The 13,642-nt window shown below is 49.7% G+C and overlaps 1 protein-coding gene across 3 annotated transcripts in view, besides 2 other annotated features; it reads right to left on the bottom strand.

The window, feature by feature from the left end:
• The window catches only part of ANO2 (anoctamin 2), a 383,578-nt gene that overhangs the window by 356,622 nt on the left and 13,314 nt on the right, over positions 1-13,642 (bottom strand). For all 3 annotated transcript variants that reach the window (NM_001278597.3, NM_001364791.2, NM_001278596.3), the window contains exons 2-3: positions 3,344-3,528; positions 1,764-2,090 (exon numbers count right to left, since the gene is read on the bottom strand). In NM_001278597.3, the coding sequence (NP_001265526.1) occupies positions 1,764-2,090; positions 3,344-3,528 (512 nt within the window). The remainder of the gene's footprint in view (positions 1-1,763; positions 2,091-3,343; positions 3,529-13,642) is intronic.
• Positions 1,839-2,340: an enhancer, noted in NCBI's record as "H3K4me1 hESC enhancer chr12:6030281-6030782 (GRCh37/hg19 assembly coordinates)". NCBI's record gives its function as "activates a minimal SCP1, AML or CMV promoter by ChIP-STARR-seq in naive H9 embryonic stem cells {active_cell/tissue: H9 hESC(naive)}" and the evidence as "EXISTENCE:reporter gene assay evidence [ECO:0000049][PMID:30033119]".
• Positions 11,807-13,006: an enhancer, noted in NCBI's record as "P300/CBP strongly-dependent group 1 enhancer chr12:6040249-6041448 (GRCh37/hg19 assembly coordinates)". NCBI's record gives its function as "activates an origin of replication core promoter dependent on BRD2, BRD4, P300/CBP, MED14 and CDK7 cofactors, with strong dependence on P300/CBP, by STARR-seq in HCT116 cells {active_cell/tissue: HCT116}" and the evidence as "EXISTENCE:reporter gene assay evidence [ECO:0000049][PMID:35650434]".

Consider the following 13,642-nt stretch of genomic DNA (forward strand, 5'->3'; position numbering starts at 1 on the left):
GAGGAAGAGTGCCCAAAGCACAGAGGGCAACAGCACAAAGACCTGAGGTCAAGGTGCCCAAAGCAGAGAGGGCAACGGCACAAAGACCTGAGGTCAAGGTGCCCAAAGCAGAAAGGGCAATAGCACAAAGACCTGAGGTCAAGGTGCCCAAAGCAGAGAGGGCAACAGCACAAAGACCTGAGGTCAAGGTGCCCAAAGCAGAGAGGGCAACAGCACAAAGACCTGAGGTCAAGGTGCCCAAAGCAGAGAGGGCAATAGCACAAAGACCTGAGGTCAAGGTGCCCAAAGCAGAGAGGGCAATAGCACAAAGACCTGAGGTCAAGGTGATCAGCCCACACCCAAGATGAGGCCCGTGACCTGCAGGAAGGTAGGGAGGGTGGGAAGGGTAGGAATGAGTTTGGGGGAGATGGCAAGGGAAGGTCATTTTTTTTTCTTTTTTGAGACGGAGTCTCGCTCTGTCACGCAGGCTGGAGTGCAGTGGCGCGATCTCGGCTCACTGCAAGCTCTGCCTCCCAGGTTCATGCCATTCTCCTGCCTCAGCCTCCCGAGTAGCTGGGACTACAGGCGCCCAACACCAGGCCCAGCTAATTTTTTGTGTATTTAGTAGAGACAGGGTTTCACCATGTTAGCCAGAATGATCTCGATCTCCTGACCTTGTGATCCGCCCGCCTCAGCCTCCCAAAGTGCTGGGATTACAGGCGTGAGTCACCGCGCCTGGCAAGGGAAGGTCATTTTTAAAGGATCACTGTGGTGTGGATAAATGGATGGATGGATGGATGGATGGATGGATGGATGGATGGATGGATGCATGCATGCATGCATGGGTGGGTGGACAGATGGGTGGATGAATGGATGGATAGGTGGATATGTGTATGAATGGATTTCCATGGATTCCCTTGCACTGACCAGAGGTGAGAGTATCTATAGCTTATAGGTTGATAAAATATGTCCTATGTATGTCCCAACTCAGTTTCCAAATACATCTCAAATCAGCTCCCTCAGGGGACCCCAGACAAGCGCATTCCTTAGTGAATGAGATTCATATAGAGGAATTTTATTCCAAAATTCAACAAGGAAACTAGGTCTTCCTCCCAAGGAAACCATATGGAGAAGGCCACTAGATGTGGCCTGAGAATGTCAAGAAGAAATTTCTTGCCTTTAATGTCTAACTAGGCTAACTCCCAACTCCCAAAGAACAGATTGGCACACCACCACCCCACCACTACTACCTGGAATCCCCTAATCAGGACCACTAGCAACACAAGACTCTTTCTCAAGCCCTTGGGCAAGAAAATCTGGTTTCTCCAGGCCAGGCACGGTGGCTCACACCTGTAATCCCAGCACTTTGGGAGGCCGAGGATGCCAGATCAGAAGGTCGGGAGATCGAGACCATCCTGGCTAACACGGTGAAACCCCGTCTCTACTAAAAAAATACAAAAAATTAGCTGGGTCTGGTGGCGGGCGCCTATAGTCCCAGCTACTCGGGAGACTGAGGTAGGAGAATGGCAGGAACCCAGGAGGCAGAGCTTGAAGTGAGCCAAGATCACACCACTGCACTCCAGCCTTGGTGACAGAGCAAGACTCCGTCTCAAAAAAAATTTTTTTTAAAAAAAGAAAGAAACAAAATCTGGTTTCTCCAGCAGAAAAAAAAGTCCACCTGCCAGAATAAAGCCTAGGCTCTCTGTCAGGTGGCACTGCTCACTAGGAGCCCGGTTCTGTGGTGCCATTCCATCTCCAAGTCCCTGGCCACCCGCCTGACTCACCTCCAAGTCCTTCTCAAGCTCCAGTCCAGCCTCCATCAGATTGTGCTCAAATTCCTCCCGCTGCTCCTTCCTCTCCTCCTCCAGGGCATCGAGCGGTCCCAGCTCAATGTCACCTGGGCCCCCAGCATGAGGCTCCTTGCCTGTCTCCCCATTGGAGACGATAGCCAGCGAGTGGCCAGGGAAGCCTTGGGCCAGGTGCACCCCGCGTTTCCGGTAGTGGTAGGCAAGTACATAGTCGACCTTCCTCTGACTGTCATGGAAGTGCATGCGGCTAAGACGGGCCTCCAAGGACACAGGCTCATTGGCATCCAGATAGTTGTTGATGACCTGGCCAGAGAGAGAGGAGAGGCAGGGCAAGGTCTGGTGAGTAAGGGGTGAGAAACAGAGGAGGCTGATCTATGCTCTGGGCTCAGGGAAACGGACTCAGAAGCAAGCCTCTCAGGCCCAAAGGCCCCCAGTGCCCCCAGTAAAAGGACCGAATGGCCTAAGTTAATCTGTCATGCCAGCTTGCGAGGCCCTCCACCCACCTGTTGACAGTCTGGGCATCGGTGCCTTCACACATGCTCCAGCATCCATGCACACACACACTCACACACAGACTGTACCTGCAGCAGCAAACCCCTCACAACCGCACTCCTGCCTCCACACACAGAACCACACGCCCACGCCTGCACACACACATGCAAGCACCTGCAGATGCACACGCAGCCACCTCTACCCTTGTCTCCCTGCACCAGCACTCCTGCACCATACAGGTGAAGGGGCCTGTGTACACGCGTATCTACCCGAGTGCGCTCTAACACACACACCCCCTTCCACAGGCACCATGGCCCACACACGCTCACCTCCTTGCAGATCTGCACCTCTGCCTGCAGATACACTATATATTTAAACACAGAATACTCACAGGCAGGTTCTCTGGATCCATTGGAACAAAGACCAATTTCTAGTCACCAGACCCGACCCCTACCCTCCCACCCACGGGAATTCACCAGGCACTATTCACAGCCCCACATCCTCCTCTCCAGCCACTGGTGAGGGCCCTTTCAAAGACAGCAGCAGGGAACTGACTTCTGCTGTCTTCCACTCCAGAGGTGGGGAGGTGGAAAGAAGAGGAGGAGAGAGAACACGATGAAGCAGGGGAGGGACCGGCCTCTCCCCGTGGGTGTTTCCCTGTTTATTACTGGTTTGAAACCCAGCTGCCTCTGCAGCCACCTGAGAGGTCACCTGGGCAACCAGATGAAGCTCCAGGCACAAGGGAGAGACTCAGAGCCACCATAGCAGAGAAGACAGTTGCTCAGGCTTGCAGGAGGGGAACCAGGGGGCCTGCAGACCAACTGGCAGCATCGACTGGCCTCCCACGCCTCCTCCTTTCCTGACCCTCCTCTGACCAGAACAGGGCACTGGGAAAGTGTGCCTGACTTGGAGACAGAGAAGAGAAAAGGCCCTACCCAAACCTAGGTCTCTCTCTTTCACGCACACATGTGCTCCCAACTGGAGGATCCCCCAGACCAGAGGCTCCTTGGTGGCCTGCAACAGGGCTGGCCTATCCCCCCACCCCACCCCCGCCCAGTACTCACAGAGCTGCTGCGGGTGCTCTCTCCACCGCAGGGCTGGCCAGGATCTCTGTTGGAACCGCCCTGCAGACCTGGGGCCCGGGGACCTGGCATCTTGAGACACTGCTGTCCATGTTTGGGGCCCTGGCCCCCTCTGGACCCTGCCTGAGGGCTCAGCCGGCGTGGGGAGCCAGGGAGCAGGGGTATATCTGTGAGAGGGAAAGACAAGGGAGGCAAAACAGCCTCAGGTGAAGGAAATCCAAGACACTGAGGTACTGAGTGTACTCAGACACTAGCCCTGAGAAAATGGCCCATTTTGCTTCACAGCTGCCTCCTTGGTTAGTCCCTAAAGCCCAGGTTCACACTGACCACAAGGAAGGGAGCATGGAAAAGGAAGTGCGGCCCCCCGACTGCATACACACACGCACACACACATACACACACATGCACGCACACACACCCACATACACACACACATGCACACATACACACACACACGCACACACATACACACACATGCACGCACACACACCCACATACACACACATGCACACATACACACACGCATACACACACACGCACACACACATACACACACACGCACGCACACACACCCACATACACACACACATGCACACATACACACACGCATACACACACATACACACACACACACACACACACGCACACACACAGCGTGGAGCCACCAGCAGGAGCTCCTTCGGATCATGGCTGTCATAATCTCTCATAATTCCCAGATAAGAAAGGGGTGGCATTGAGCAAGTCAGGGTGGTGGGGGGGCACTGCCTGGAGAGACACCTTGAATTAATACCAAAGGCTTAGGCTTTGGGCCTCTCCCGTGGCAGCAGCACCAGCTGGCACCCTGGCCAGCCCCCACCTCCCTCGGGGAGAGAGCAAGGACAGACCAAGGGGGTCCTCTGAACAACTGAACAAAGGACTGTCCTCCAGTGTCCTTTCAGGGTCCTCACGCACCTGCTGCCTCTACCCAGGCCCCAGAGGTCTGCAGCCCCTTCTCGGCAGGAATGCAGGACCACTTCAGAAAAATTCCAGTGTCTCCCCTGAAGGGAAAAGTCCCCAGTAGGTGATGGAATGACTGCATGCTAGAATTGGAGGGAACTGAGAGAGTAGATAGTCCAGCTGCACTTTGTACAGACCCCACTGGAACCGCGAGTTGCCAAGGTCTCAGCGCAGGTCAGACTCAATCTATTCTCTCCTCTGAGAAACACTTCCTAGAAAAGCAACACAGCCAGTGCCCAGGCTTAAACCTCAGCTCTGCCACTTGCCAGCTCTAAGACCTCTTTGTGCTTGTTCTCTAGCTGTAAAATGAGAATCTCAAACTTGCAGGATTGCAGTGAGAATGAGAATAAGATAATGCCTGCAAAGCACCCAGAGCAGTGATTAGCCTGACGGCATGTGATCAAAGGCTGTGATTAGAATCGTTAGTGTTTGCATTTTAACCTCCAAGTGAGCAGAAGTAACACCTTATGTCTCCAACTCAGCCCTAAGCACCTGCTCAGTGAATGAATGAACAAAAGCAACTCTTCCAGTCTGTTGAAACAGAACTCCCGGCCCTTTGCCAACTTGTGGAGCAGCCCCTTAGGTGCTCAGCCCTCCAGCGCAGTTTCAGGGGTCCTAGAACATTCGGTCCCTGCACTTGAGAAACATAATCTCTTTATGAAGACAGAGCTGACATGCAGGAAACACAACTGTGACCAGCAGAGGAAAGCTTTCATCATTCCTTTCTATACTGTGGGTTCTAGTCCACACTGTGGGAGACCAGAAAGACTAAGTCAAAGTCGGCTTCTGGGGTAACTGAGCCAGAGCTGGGTCCTGGAGGGTGGGTAGCTTCTGAAAGGCCAGGAGGCACGGGAGGCACTCCCTAGGGAGACAGCACAGAAGGGCAGGCGTGGGCACACCTTGTGGGAGGAAAATGAAAACTCAGGACCCCATATCACTCTGCCGAAAGGAAAATATTAAGCCGAAAGCTGAGTCAGGCAAGACGCTGCCTTTCCTTTTGTTCCTAAGCAGACAGCTACAGATAAAAGGCTAGATAGCTCCACAGGCAGCTACTCTATATTCACCTTGTCCAAAGCGCAAGATGAATACATCATTGATAATTCCCTAACTGCTCCTTTTCTCTTGCAACATGCAGATTCCCACAGCCTCCCTCTTTCCCCCACAGCCTGCTTTTCCCCGTTAAATATTGAAGCCCTCAAAATGATCTTTGGAGAAAGACACAGACCTCTCTTCCAACCACATTCTTAACGTTGGCAAAATAAACGGAATTGATTGAGGCCTGTCTCAGATATTTTTTGGTTTACATGTGATGGGGCTCAGGCTCAGGGCTCTAAAAAAGGGGCTTCCTCCCTTGTGCCCAATCTCGCCTCCTCCCACTTCCCTTGTGCCTTCCTGCATGCCTGCCCCACAAGTGCCTGAGAACAGAACTTGGAACAGAAGGACTCTACCCCAGAGAAGACCTGGAAACCTCTAGATGCATGTCTAAAAAGCCCAAGACCACTGGATACATCACTGGGGAACATGATAAAGATGATGTTCACTCAAGGGCCACCCTACCCTGGCAGCTACATTCAGATTTGCACCTGTGGCTCAGAGTAGCTCAGATTCAAGGGCAATGCAAAGCTTTGGTCCAGCTGCTGTCCAGGAACCACCATCCCCTAAAGGTGCCACCTGGAGTTTGAGGCTGACATTCAGGGCCCTCACTAGCCATCGCAGTTGCTCCCCCGGCTCGCTCTCTGACACACGGATCCGGCTGCCTGGGAACTCTGCTTCCCTTCTCTCCCTCTCCCCACAAGTGATTAGAGCACAGCACACGGTTCAGCCATCCCAGCCGTCCCAGCTCTGGAGAGGCACTCCAGGCAATAAAGACACAAGGGAGCCACCTTCAGACGTGAGAGGAAGGCCAAGGGGAACGCGAGTGACGCCTGCCCTCAGGAAGGGGAAGGGTGAGGCAGGTGAGCACACACCTTGAGAACTCCCTAAGAAGCTTAGAAGAGGTGAATGAGGTCAATTAGAAGGAAAGGCCATCGTACACAGCCCGTGGAACATGTCACCCATTTGGAAAGAATCTTTCCTTCCTTCACCGTTGCCTTGGCTCTCCTTCCACGCTGCCTTGAACAACAGATCCTTGGGTGTTCATAACTGCAATGCCGTGAGGGTGGGGGCATGGCTTACCCACGTCTGGGTTGAGGAGATGGATGTCGTAAGGCTGGGGCCTGGGCCTTTCTCCACGTTCCAGCTCTCTCCCTGGGCACTCTCATCCACTCCAGAGACCTTCATTGTCACCTATTGCTGACGACACTTAAGTTTCACTCTAACTCTTGCTCTCCTGCAGGCACCAGGTCCACACATTCCCCTGCCTGCTCAGCATCTACACTTGGATGTTTCCCAGCCCCTCAAAGTCAACATGCCCAAATCCAAACATACGATCTTCTCCAAAACAGGATTCTTTTTCAGCATTTCCTGCTCCTGCAAATGCTCCACCAAACAGTCAACGAGCTGGAAATCTAGAAGCAGCCTTGATAGCTGTTCTTCCTCATGCCCCATGTCCAATTTGGTACCGATCCTATAAACTTTACCCCTGAAATGTCTGCCAAACCCCTCTGTTCTTCACCCTTCCATGAGTCCCACCCTAGTGCCAGCTGTCAGCCTCCTTCCCCTGGAGGACGGCGATGCCCTCCTAACAGATCTCCCTGCTCCCTGTCCCTGTTCCCCACAAGGCAGCCAGGGGTCCTTACAAACATCCATCTGGCCAGGACACCCTCAAGAGCACAAACTTATGGGGCTCCCATGGCTCTCGGGCTGGGACTCTGCATTCTGCCCCGCCAGTCTCCACCCCCTCTCTCCTGCTGGCTCCCTGGGGTCCCGCCATACACCTCTGCTCTAGCACACCAGCTCCCCAGCCCAGCATCCTACATGCATTCTTCCCGCTGCCTGGACCATGCTTCCCTACACACTCTTCATCTAGTTGTGGGCCACCTACTATTTTGGTCCTTAGGGACCCAGAAAATCCAAAGCAATCCATTCTTGCTTCAAAAAGCTGCTAATCAAGGTGTAAGACTGGAATATTCAGATACTACTAAGAAAGCTAATTTCCTTCCAACCTAGACATGAGTAAGGTTCCACAAGTTGGGTTGTGCAGGATTGGGAGGAGGTGCAGGCCACGAGGACCCATGTGATGTTGCCGGAGGAAGGCCTCACCACCAGCACCCTGCCCCAAGACAAACCCTTTCTCTGAGCTTAGTTTTTACTTCGGTGATTTGGGAGAAGGTGTCATTATTATATCTTTTCCTCATAAAGTGAGTGTGATGATACAGTAAGAGAAAAGATTAACATTCCTTGGAAGTACATGAGCTATGAAAAATGCACAGGATAATTATCAAACCCTACTTCAGGACGTCCATGCTGCCTCCTTCATCCGTCTCTTCTCCACTTCATTCCAGCTGCTCTGCTTCAAGTCCCTGGAATTCCCTTTCTCTCCCAGCCCACTGCCTGCTCACCTGCCACTTCCTCCTGGAAGCTTCCCCAGACTAAGCAGGAGAAGCACTGGCTGTCTGTCCCCACCATTATTAGTACAAGTGGGTTTACTCATCAGGGATGACCACACATTTTTTAATCCTTTCGGTACAGTCTTGGCTGTTTCATATCAGTGGCCTCAGGTGAGACCTCTGTCCCTTCTCATTGGAGCCAACCTCACCACTCGCAGGACTGCAGGTACCTTAGGTCACTCTACAGAGGCAGATGAAGAAGGGGTAGGATCAGAGACATTGAGAGAAAAGAACAGAGACTGAAGGATGGAGAGGCCCAAATCTCAATGAAAAAACAGGTGAAGCCTGTTTTCAGAGTCTCCCCAAACCAGTCCTTCCGAAATCTCCTTTCTGGGCCTGCCCAAAGCCCCTCCCCAGCTTCTGTGCCCTGTATTCCACCCTCCACTGTCCATCTACCATCAGGGCTTCCAACGACCATTTCCTCATTTAACCTCTGGCTCTTTTGCTAATCAGCTAATTTACACCAAAGTACAAACAGCCCATGCTACGTCCTGATATTGGTAAAAAGCATTTTGAAAACATTAAAAGGTTCTGCAGAAGGCATAAGCCCACATGCTGATGGGGCAGAGGTCATAGCCTGAAGGCATCATCTCTAATGGGGTGAGAGGAAGATGGCTGAGAGGCAGAAGTTCTGGCTGGGACCTCCAAATAATGCTATATCCCCAGACAGTCTGGCAGGAACCTTCAAGGTCACTGCATAGGCCGAGAGCTAGAAAGGCCCTTCTGAACAGGGGGGAGGGGCAGGCACAGAATGTGGAGAGCTGGTAAGAGTGAGAGAAGCTTGGGCATGTAGCTGACAGGGGAAACACCAAAGCCAAGGAGACCAGGAGACACAGTCAGGAGCAAGACAGGGCCAGATTGTGCAGAGAAAGGGCAGAAAGTGAGTTCACTAAGCATGGAATAGGGGGCAAGGTGAGTCAGCAGGGACCTAGGCAACTTCCAGAGCCTCCAAGAGAGACCAGCAGCAGGAGGAGGAGGTGTCCTGAGGGAACTGGACTTCTGGGCAGTTGGGCTTTTCCTCTGAGTTTCCCTCTTGGCATCATTACTGTCTCATTCCTAACTCCTGGTGGCTGAAGTATGAAGGGCCCTGAAATGAGGGGCCACCTCCATCCCCAACCTCCCAAAGCCACTGCTTCCAGCAAAACCAGACAGGCCCAGGGCTGCCCTGTGGGAGACAGAGCATCCGCACTCTCCCAGGCTTCTGCACTAGTCTACTTTCCTTCCTCACTAGTCTACTTTCCTTCCTCACTAGTCTACTTTCCTTCCTCCGTAGTCTACTTTCCTTCGTCACTAGTCTACTTTCCTTCCTCACTGGTCTACTTTCCTTCCTCTCTAGTCTACCTTCCTTCCTTACTCGTCTACCTTCTTTCCTTATTAGTCACTTTCTTACCAGTCTTCCTTCCTTACTAGTCTATCTTCTTTCCTTACTCGTCTACCTTCTTTCCTTATTAGTCACTTTCTTACCAGTCTTCCTTCCTTACTAGTCTATCTTCTTTCCTTACTCGTCTACCTTCTTTCCTTATTAGTCACTTTCTTACCAGTCTTCCTTCCTTACTAGTCTGTCTTCTTTCCTTACTCGTCTGCCTTCTTTCCTTATTAGTCACTTTCTTACCAGTCTTCCTTCCTTACTAGTCTATCTTCTTTCCTTACTCGTCTACCTTCTTTCCTTATTAGTCACTTTCTTACCAGTCTTCCTTCCTTACTAGTCTATCTTCTTTCCTTACTCGTCTACCTTATTTCCTCATTAGTCACTTTCTTACCAGTCTTCCTTCCTTACTAGTCTATCTTCTTTCCTCACTCGTCTACCTTCTTTCCTCATTAGTCACTTTCTTACCAGTCTTCCTTCCTTACTAGTCTATCTTCTTTCCTTACTCGTCTACCTTCTTTCCTCATTAGTCACTTTCTTACCAGTCTTCCTTCCTTACTAGTCTGTCTTCTTTCCTTACTCGTCTACCTTCTTTCCTTATTAGTCACTTTCTTACCAGTCTTCCTTCCTTACTAGTCTACCTTCTTTCCTCACTCGTCTACCTTCTTTCCTTATTAGTCACTTTCTTACCAGTCTTCCTTCCTTTTCTATCTTCTTTCCTTACTCGTCTGCCTTCTTTCCTTATTAGTCACTTTCTTACCAGTCTTCCTTCCTTACTAGTCTATCTTCTTTCCTCACTCGTCTGCCTTCTTTCCTTATTAGTCACTCTCTTACCAGTCTTCCTTCCTTACTAGTCTATCTTCTTTCCTCACTCGTCTACCTTCTTTCCTTATTAGTCACTCTCTTACCAGTCTTCCTTCCTTACTAGTCTATCTTCTTTCCTTACTCGTCTACCTTCTTTCCTTATTAGTCACTTTCTTACCAGTCTTCCTTCCTTACTAGTCTACCTTCTTTCCTCACTCGTCTGCCTTCTTTCCTTATTAGTCACTTTCTTACCAGTCTTCCTTCCTTACTAGTCTACCTTCCTTCCTTACTAGTCTACCTTCTTTATTAGTCACTTTCTTACCAGTCTTCCTTCCTTACTAGTCTATCTTCTTTCCTTACTCGTCTGCCTTCTTTCCTTATTAGTCACTTTCTTACCAGTCTTCCTTCCTTACGAGTCTACCTTCCTTCCTTACTCGTCTACCTTCTTTCCTTATTAGTCACTTTCTTACCAGTCTTCCTTCCTTACTAGTCTACCTTCTTTCCTCACTCGTCTGCCTTCTTTCCTTATTAGTCACTTTCTTACCAGTCTTCCTTCCTTACTAGTCTACCTTCTTTCCTCTCTCGTCTGCCTTCTTTCCTTATTAGTCACTTTCTTACCAGTCTTCCTTCCTTACTAGTCTACCTTCTTTCCTCACTCGTCTACCTTCTTTCCTTATTAGTCACTTTCTTACCAGTCTTCCTTCCTTACTAGTCTACCTTCTTTCCTCACTCGTCTACCTTCTTTCCTTATTAGTCACTTTCTTACCAGTCTTCCTTCCTTACTAGTCTGTCTTCTTTCCTCACTCGTCTGCCTTCTTTCCTTATAGGCCTTCCTTCCTTGTGATTACCCAGGGTTTGATGGAAGGAGCCACATTCTGTTTAGCTTTAATTCCCAATGTTTTATACAATACCTGGGAAGTTAAATGGGTCTGCAATGAACGAACAGAGATGTGAAATACTGCACGTATATCATCCCCACCCCAACCTCCCAAAGAATGGTCATTTGCTGTGCTTGGAGCCTGGCATGATGGTGTGGGTAATGGGGGTATAGGGGGAAGGCCAGCAGTGGATGAGTGTTGGGAGATGAAGTGGTCCAGACGGGTAGGTGCGGACTCGATCAGGAAAGACCCTGTATGTCATATATGACAATTTGGTCTTCATCCTAAGAAGAGTAGGCAACCATGGTCCTGCTGAAGGCATGCCCTGGTAGAAGCCTCAGAGAGACCTGGGTGCTTTCAGATTGAAGACCCTCCCCCTGGACCCCTCCTCAAGTGCCCTGGGCACTTCATTTCAGTTAGAATCAACATTTACACCCAGGTCTCATCCTGCTTCTTGCATGAATTGGACCCAGGACAACAGCCAAAATTTGAAGCTCCAGGCTTAAAATTTGGGCCCAATGGCCCTCCTGATTACCCCACCCCTTGCCCCAGAGGTCCTGCAGAACAGCACTTCCCTCAGTCTCTATATGCAGCCACAGTAACAGGACTGCTCTCCAGTTCCCTCCATACTCACACACACATAAAATCCATTTGCATATCCGCCTCCTGGGCTCTGCTTGTCTTATAGCCTTGGCTCAGAATTAGCCCTCTCTCTCCAATGCACATGCCCCCCTTTCCTGATGATGCCACCACCACAGTTTGCATCCTTGCCTTGTTCCCCTCTGATAGAAGTAAGCTGGCCTTCCTACTGCTTATCTTGCTTCTCTCTCATCCTGGGCTCACACCACAGCTACTATTACCATTTTGAAACAATCTCACCAAGTTAGTCCCACTCTGTGGTTGCCTACTCTTCTTAGGATGAAGACCAAATTGTCATATATGACATACAGGGTCTTTCATGATCGAGTCCGCACCTACCCGTCTGGACCACTTCATCTCCCAACACTCATCCACTGCTGGCCTTCCCCCTATACCCCCATTACCCACACCATCATGCCAGGCTCCAAGCACAGCAAATGACCATTCTTTGGGAGGTTGGGGTGGGGATGATATACGTGCAGTATTTCACATCTCTGTTCATTCATTGCAGACCCATTTAACTTCCCACGTATTGTATAAAACATTGGGAATTAAAGCTAAACAGAATGTGGCTCCTTCCATCAAGCCCTGGGTAATCACAAGGAAGGAAGGCCTATAAGGAAAGAAGGCAGACGAGTGAGGAAAGAAGACAGACTAGTAAGGAAGGAAGACTGGTAAGAAAGTGACTAATAAGGAAAGAAGGCAGACGAGTGAGGAAAGAAGATAGACTAGTAAGGAAGGAAGACTGGTAAGAAAGTGACTAATAAGGAAAGAAGGTAGACGAGTGAGGAAAGAAGATAGACTAGTAAGGAAGGAAGACTGGTAAGAAAGTGACTAATAAGGAAAGAAGGTAGACGAGTGAGGAAAGAAGACAGACTAGTAAGGAAGGAAGACTGGTAAGAAAGTGACTAATAAGGAAAGAAGGCAGACGAGTGAGGAAAGAAGATAGACTAGTAAGGAAGGAAGACTGGTAAGAAAGTGACTAATAAGGAAAGAAGGCAGACGAGTGAGGAAAGAAGATAGACTAGTAAGGAAGGAAGACTGGTAAGAAAGTGACTAATAAGGAAAGAAGGTAGACGAGTGAGGAAAGAAGATAGACTAGTAAGGAAGGAAGACTGGTAAGAAAGTGACTAATAAGGAAAGAAGGCAGACGAGTGAGGAAAGAAGACAGAAAAGGAAGGAAGACTGGTAAGAAAGTGACTAATAAGGAAAGAAGGTAGACGAGTGAGGAAAGAAGATAGACTAGTAAGGAAGGAAGACTGGTAAGAAAGTGACTAATAAGGAAAGAAGGCAGACGAGTAAGGAAAGAAGACAGAAAAGGAAGGAAGACTGGTAAGAAAGTGACTAATAAGGAAAGAAGGTAGACGAGTGAGGAAAGAAGGTAGACTAGTAAGGAAGGAAGACTGGTAAGAAAGTGACTAATAAGGAAAGAAGGCAGACGAGTGAGGAAAGAAGATAGACTAGTAAGGAAGGAAGACTGGTAACAAAGTGACTAAAAAGGAAAGAAGGCAGACGAGTGAGGAAAGAAGATAGACTAGTAAGGAAGGAAGACTGGTAAGAAAGTGACTAATAAGGAAAGAAGGTAGACGAGTGAGGAAAGAAGGTAGACTAGTAAGGAAGGAAGACTGGTAAGAAAGTGACTAATAAGGAAAGAAGGTAGACGAGTGAGGAAAGAAGGTAGACTAGTAAGGAAGGAAGACTGGTAAGAAAGTGACTAATAAGGAAAGAAGGTAGACGAGTGAGGAAAGAAGATAGACTAGTAAGGAAGGAAGACTGGTAAGAAAGTGACTAATAAGGAAAGAAGGTAGACGAGTAAGGAAGGAAGGTAGACTAGAGAGGAAGGAAAGTAGACCAGTGAGGAAGGAAAGTAGACTAGTGAGGAAGGAAGACTAACAAGGAGATAATCTCCAGAATGGGAGGAGAGTCAACATGAAAGTATGAAGAAGGATCCATGGAAGCAGAAGCCCTCAGCTCTCCCTAGAGCTGTCAGGGAGGCTCCCAGAGGACACGGCTTTTGCATGCAACTAGAAGAATTAACTAGGCATCTACC

The sequence above is a fragment of the Homo sapiens genome, chromosome 12 (assembly GCF_000001405.40).
Source record: "Homo sapiens chromosome 12, GRCh38.p14 Primary Assembly".
NCBI lineage: Eukaryota > Metazoa > Chordata > Mammalia > Primates > Hominidae > Homo > Homo sapiens.